Source organism: Homo sapiens, chromosome 17, assembly GCF_000001405.40.
Source record: "Homo sapiens chromosome 17, GRCh38.p14 Primary Assembly".
NCBI lineage: Eukaryota > Metazoa > Chordata > Mammalia > Primates > Hominidae > Homo > Homo sapiens.
In genome coordinates this window covers 76610534-76617311 of record NC_000017.11, presented here as the reverse complement: position 1 = coordinate 76617311, position 6778 = coordinate 76610534, and the positions used below count along the sequence as shown (strand labels likewise).

General features: G+C 52.2%; 2 annotated features.

Moving 5' to 3' along the window:
• Positions 4692-5198: an enhancer, noted in NCBI's record as "H3K27ac-H3K4me1 hESC enhancer chr17:74608196-74608702 (GRCh37/hg19 assembly coordinates)". NCBI's record gives its function as "activates a minimal SCP1, AML or CMV promoter by ChIP-STARR-seq in naive H9 embryonic stem cells {active_cell/tissue: H9 hESC(naive)}" and the evidence as "EXISTENCE:reporter gene assay evidence [ECO:0000049][PMID:30033119]".
• Positions 5707-6213: an enhancer, noted in NCBI's record as "OCT4-NANOG-H3K27ac hESC enhancer chr17:74607181-74607687 (GRCh37/hg19 assembly coordinates)". NCBI's record gives its function as "activates a minimal SCP1, AML or CMV promoter by ChIP-STARR-seq in primed H9 embryonic stem cells {active_cell/tissue: H9 hESC(primed)}" and the evidence as "EXISTENCE:reporter gene assay evidence [ECO:0000049][PMID:30033119]".

Sequence of the window (6778 nt, the reverse complement as noted above, 5' to 3'; positions counted from 1 at the left end):
CCTCCCAAACACTGTGCAGACCATGGCCTATGACTGTGGCAAAGGCACCTAGAGGCTGAGGTTCCCCAAGAAATACAGTGTGGGAGGCCAGAGGATGCCACTCCAAAATACACAGGCTTGTTGAGCTCAGGGCAGTTCTGAAGCGGCAGGTCCAGAAAGCTCTGCCCACCCTGTTTGCCTAAAAGCAAGACAAGGCCCAGCGTGGTGGCTCACACCTGTAATCCCAGCACTTAGGGAGGCCGAGGTGGGCAGATCACCCGAGGTCAGGAGTCCGAGACCAGCCTGGCCAACATGGTGAAACCCCATCTCTACTAAAAATACAAAAATTAGCCGGGCGTGGTGGTGGTTGCCTGTAATCCCAGCTATTCAGGAGGCTGAAGCAGAATTGCTTGAACCCGGGGGGCAGAGGTTGCAGTGAGCCGAGATCGTGCCACTGCACTCCAGCCTGGGTGACAAAGCAAGACTCTGTCTCAATAATAATAATAATAAAAGCAGGACATCAATTTACAGAGACAGAAGCCATCCTACTCCCCTTTCTACCACAGAGAGCAAAGCTGAACCACTGAAGACATCTTTGCGCCCTTGTGGGCCTGGAGCCGGCTCCAGAGGCACCCACAGGAACAGGCTTCCCCAACCAGCCTGCACCTGCCAGCTCCGTGCCTTCCCCAAGGGACTGCCCCTCAACACCCAAAGTCCTCTCCCCTGGTGACTTCTCTAAAGATGTACTGTTCTCTAGCCGGGCGCAGTGGCTCACACCTGTAATCCCAGCACTTTGGGAGGCTGAGGCGGGCAGATCACGAGGTCAGGAGTTCGAGAGCAGCCTGACCAACATGGCGAAACCCCATCTCTACTAAAAGCACAAAAATTAGCCGGGCATTGTGGTGGGCGCTTGTAATCCCAGCTACTCAGGAGGCTGAGGCAGGAGAATCGCGTGAACCAGGGAGGTGGAGGTTGCAGTGAGCCGAGATCGTGCCATTGCACTCCAGCCTGGCCAACAGAGAGAGACTCGGTCTCAAAAAAAAAAAAAAAAAAAAAAAGAGGTACTGTTCTCTGTGGAAGATGCAACACGAGCTGCGATTCAAAGCCACTTCGAGAACCAGGCACTCCCTGGGCGTCTCCCACGTGCACAGGAAATGTGCATGTTGACAAACCTCTCTCTTATTTTTTGGGATGTTGTTGTCATTGCTGTTTGAGACAGGGTCTCGCTCTTTCTCTTGTTTTTTTCGTTTGTGTTTTTTTTGAGACAGAGTCTTTTTTTTTCATATAGCTAATTTTGTCTTTTGAGACAGAGTCTTGCTCTGTTGCCCAGGCTGGAGTGCAATGGTATAATCTTGGCTCACTGCAACCTCCACCTCCTGGGTTCAAGCGATCCACCTGCCTCAGCCTCCCGTGTAGCTGGAATTACAGGCGCGTGCCACCACATCTGGCTAATTTTTGTATTTTTAGTAGAGATGGGGTTTCACCATGTTGGCCAGGCCAGTCTCGAACTCCTGACCTCAAGTGATCCGCCCGCCTTGGCCTCCCAAAATGCTGGAATTACAGGTGTGAGCCACCACGCCAGGCCTTGTCTTTCTCTTGTTAATCTGTCTTTTTATTCCAGGAGGCCAGATCAGCTAACAACTTATGAGAGGTGAAGAAAAAAAATGCTTTTTCTTCCCCTACAACAGCTATGCTGAATTCCATCATAGTAAACAGAGCTGTGTTCCTCCAGGAAAACGTCACATTTGGAAGTCAGGTATTAAAACCACAGCCAGGCAGCTCCTGGCCCTAGAGCTGAAGCCCAAACGCCTCCAGGGTTTTCCATTCATATTCCGTTACCACCTGTTCACCGATCTTGTCTCCACAGTGAGAGGTGACAGCGTGCTGGCAGCCCTCACTTGCTCTCAGTGCCTCCTTGGCCTCAGTGCCCACTCTGGCCACACTTGAGAAGCCCTTCAGCCCGCCACTGCACTGTGGGAGCCCCTCTCTGGGCTGGCCGAGGCCGGAGCCGGCTCCCTCTGCTTGCAGGGAGGTGTGGAGGGAGAGGCACGGGCAGGAACCAGGGCCGCGCATGGCCCTCGTGGGCCAGCGGGAGTGCTGGATGGGCGCCGGCTCAGCAGGCCCCACACTCAGAGCGGCTGGCCGGCGCTGGCCCCAGGGAGTGAGCATCTTAGCACCCAGGCCAGCAGGGGAGGAGGCAGCACCAGGTCCCCCAGCACTGCCGGCCTGCCCGCACCACGCTTGAATTCTTGCCAGGCCTCAGCCACCTCCCCATGGGGCAGGGCTCAGGACCTGCAGCCCACCATGCCCAAGCCCCCCCACGGTGGGCTCCCACAGGGCCCGAGCCTCCCCAACAGGCGTCACCCCATGCTCTGTGGTGCCCGGTCCAATCGACCGCCCAAGGGCTGAGGAGTGCAGGCACGCAGCGTGGGACTGGCGGGCAGCTCCGCCTGCAGTTCTGGTGCAGGATCCACTAGGGGAAGCCAGATGGGCTCTGGAGTCAGGTGGAGACCTGGAGAACTTTTATGTTTAGCCAGAGGATTCTATATGCACCAATCAGCACTCTGTGTCTAGCTCAGGGTTTGTAAATGCACCAATCAACACTCTGTGTCTAGCTCAAGGTTTGCAAACGCACTAACCAGTGCTCCGTGTCTAGCTAATCTAGTGGGCACTTGGAGAACTTTTACATCTAGCTAGAGGATTGTAAATACACCAATCAGCACTCTGTGTCTAGCTCAGGGATTGTAAACGTACCAATCAGCACCCTGTCAAAACGGACCAATCAGCTCTCTGTAAAACGGACCAATCAGCGCTCTGTAAAGTGGACCAATCAGCTCTCTGTAAAATGGGCCAATCAGCAGGATGTGGGTGGGGTCAGATAAGGGAATAAAAGCAGGCTGCCCGAGTCAGCAGTGGCAACCTACTGGGGTTCCCTTGTGAATTGTGGGTGCTTTGTTTGTTTTGCTCTTTGCAATAAATCTTGCTGCTGCTGAGTCTTTCAGTCTGCACCGCCTTAATGAGCTGTAACACTCACCACGAAAGTCTACAGCTTTACTCCTGAAGCCAGCGAGACCATAAACCCACTGGGAGGAATGAACAACTCCAGACACGCCACCTTAAGAGCTGTTAATACTCAGTTGGAAGGTCTGCAGCTTCATTCCTGAAGCCACCAAAACCACAAACCCACCAGAAAGGATAAACTTTGAACACGTCTGAATATCAGAAGGCACAAACGCTGGACACACCATCTTTAAGAATTGTAACACTCACTGCCTATCAGAAGGCACAAACCCCGGACACACCGTCTTTAAGAACTGTAACACTCACCGTGAGGGTCTGTGGCTTCCTTCTTGAGGTCAGTGAAGTCAGGAATCCACCAATTTTGGACACAACAGCATATGTCAAGGCTGTTTTTCTGGGTGGGGAAATACAAAAGAGACAGTTTTATTTTATTTTTTTATGTTTGCAAAGACTTCATCTCTGCCCACTGAGACCTGATGTGGCAGCTGCCACCAGCCTCCCCGGCAGGAAAGCCACATGCCAGAGGGCCGCTCTCTGAGATGCTCAAAGTCCATGTTCCTACACAGCTCTTTGGCAGCTGTCTCTCTATACTTGTACAACTGGAATTCAAATTCTTTGTACATCTGGTTATTCTGCTTCTCATTGAGATTGAGGGAAGGTGAGAGCACCTGGCAGCTGAGGAATTCTAGAAGAATCTTGTCAGGTCCAGAAGTCTTAGGAAAGCCGCCCTGGAGGTTATAATCTCAGTTACTCAGAAAGGGAAATCAGGAAAGAGAACGGGTGATTTGTTCTAGGTTTGGGTGTAAACCCTGCCTCCACCTTTGATCGGAAATTCCAAAAACCTGCAAATGCTCCTCAGCGCCACTCTGGGGCGTCAGAAGTCATCAGCTCAGGCGCTTTAGCCACTGCCAGTCTCCTTCCAGTCTAGAGAGGGAGACAACTGTCCTCAAACCTGTAGCCAATCAGGTCCCGCCCCTTTACTTGACCAAAGAAAAAAGGCCCAGAAGTCACAGTGAGGCCCATCCTGAGCCTTTGTGTGATTGACGGGCACTTCGTCCAATGAGAAGCAAGCCATAGTTATCCCTGGCGAGTGCAGCCAGCACGGCTGTTCCCTCCCCGGGTCTGCAAGGCCCCGCAAAGGGACTGACTTGTAAGCGGCAGGGTTGTTGAGTTGTTCAGTGCACCTGCCTTTCCTCAGCCCCTGGCCCTCGGAGGCCCTTCTGGAGACTCAGGGCCATGCCTCTCTCCTAGCTCCTGGTGCCCAGGTTGTCACTCCAACCTCTGCCTCCCCCTGCTCCCAGGTGTATGTTCCTGCCCCAATTTCCCTCTTTCTGTAAGGCCTCCAGTCATTGGATTAGGGCCCAAACGAATCCACTGTGCCCTCATTTCAGCTTGATTACCTCTGCAAAGACCCTGTAAGGTCATATTCACAGCTTCTGAGCAGACGTGAATTTGTGGGGACGCTATTCAACCCAGCACAGCCTGGAAGATCTGCTTTCCATTCTTTTCAGTTACTTATTCACCCAGCAAATTTTTTTCTTTTTTGTTTTGTTTTGAAACAGGGTCTTGCTCTGTTGCCCAGGCTGGAGTTGAGAGACAGGACTAGCTGGATTTCCTAGGCCGACTAAGAATTCCTAAGCCTAGCTGGGAAAGGTGACTGTACCTACCTTTAAACATGCGGCTTGTAACTGAGGTCACTCCCAACCAATCAGGTAGTAAAGAGGCCTCACTAAAATACAAATTAGGCCAAAGCAGGAGGTAAAGAAATAGTTAAATCATATATCACCTGAGAGCACAGGGGGAGGGACAATGATCAGGATATAAATCCAGGCATTCGAGCAGGGAGTGGCAACCCCCTTTGGGACCCCTCACATTGTATGGGAGCTCTGTTTTCACTGTTAAATCTTGCAACTGCACACTCTCCTGGCCCATGTTTGTTACTGCTCAAGCTGAGCTTTTGCTCACAGTCCACAACTGCTGTTCACCACCACTGCTGTTCGCCACCATCCCAGACCCACCATTGACTTCTGGCAGGGTGTCCGCTGTGTTTCTGATCAAGTGAGGTGCCCGTTGCTGCTCCCAATCGGGCTAAAGGCTCGCCATTGTTCCTGCATGGCTAAGTCCCGGGTTCGTCCTAATTGAGCTGAACACTAGTCACTGGGTGCCACAGTTCTCTTCCATGACCCACGGCTTCTAATAGAGCTACAACACTCACTGTATGGCCCAAGTCCTTGGAATCTGTGAGGCCAAGGACCCCAGGTCAGAGAACAAAAGGCTTGCTGCCATCTTGGGAGCAGCCCCACCCCATCTTGGGAGCTCTAAGAACAAAGACCCGCCCATAACAGAGTGAAGTGGTGTGATCACAGCTCACTGCAGCCTCAATCTCCTGGGCTCGAGCCACCCTCCCACCTCAGCCTCCTGAGTAGCTGGGATCACAGGTGCACGCCACCATGCCTGGATAATGTTTTAAAATAAAGCATAAGGAGGCTGTCAGTATGTTTGCCAGGCTGGTCTCAAACTCCTGGCTCAAGCAATCCTCCTTCCACAGCCTCCCAAAGTTCTGGGATTACTGGCATGAGCCACTGCTCAGGGCCTTTATTCAACAAATTTCTGTTCAGTGCCTGTCATGTGCCAGGCTGGGCAAGGTGCTGAAAATTGATTAGGAAGGCAGACAGTTCCTGTCCTCATAGACTCACTCACAGTCTAAGGGAAGACAGACAATTAAGCTAAGCATGCAGTGTGATGCAATTAGGGAGGGGCAGGGAGCTGTGAGAATAAACAGCAAGAAGATAGTGGTTATTGTCAGGCCTCTGAGCTGAAGCTAAGCCATCATATCCCCTGTGACCTGCACGTACACATCCAGATGGCCGGTTCCTGCCTTAACTGATGACGTTCCACCACAAAAGAAGTGAAAATGGCCTGTTCCCGCCTTAACTGATGACATTGTCTTGTGAAATTCCTTCTCCTGGCTCATCCTGGCTCAAAAGCTCCCCTGCTGAGCACCTTGTGACCTTCCCGCCTCCCCCCACCCCGCTCTGCCCGCCAGAGAACAAACCCCTTTGACTGTAATTTTCCTTTATCCACCCAAATCCTATAAAACGGCCCCACCCTTATCTCCCTTTGCTGACTCTCTTTTCGGACTCAGCCCGCCTGCACCCAGGTGAAATAAACAGCCATGTTGCTCACACACAGCCTGTTTGGTGGTTTCTTCACACGGCCGCGCATGAAATTTGGTGCCGTGACTCGGATCGGGGGACCTCCCTTGGGAGATCAATCCCCCATCCTCCTGCTCTTTGCTGTGTGAGAAAGATCCACCTATGACCTCAGGTCCTCAGACCGACCAGCCCAAGAAACATCTCACCAATTTCAAATCCGGTAAGCGGCCTCTTTTTACTCTCTTCTCCAACTTCCCTCACTATCTCTCAACCTCTTGCTCCTTTCAATCTTGGTGCCACACTTCAATCTCTCCCTTCTCTCAATTTCAATTCCTTTCATATTCTGGTGGAGACAAAGGAGACACGTTTTATCCATGGACCCAAAACTCCAGCGCTGGTCACAGACTGGGAAGGTAGCCTTCCCTTGGTGTTTAATCATTGCAGGGACGCCTCTCTGATTATTCACCCATGTTTCAAAGGTGTCAGACCACGCAGGGACGCCTGCCTTGGTCCTTCACCCTTAGCGGCAAGTCCCGCTTTTCTGAGGGAGGGGCAAGTACCCCTCAACCCCTTCTCCTTCACCCTTAGCGGTAAGTCCCGCTTTTCTATGGGGCAAGAACCCC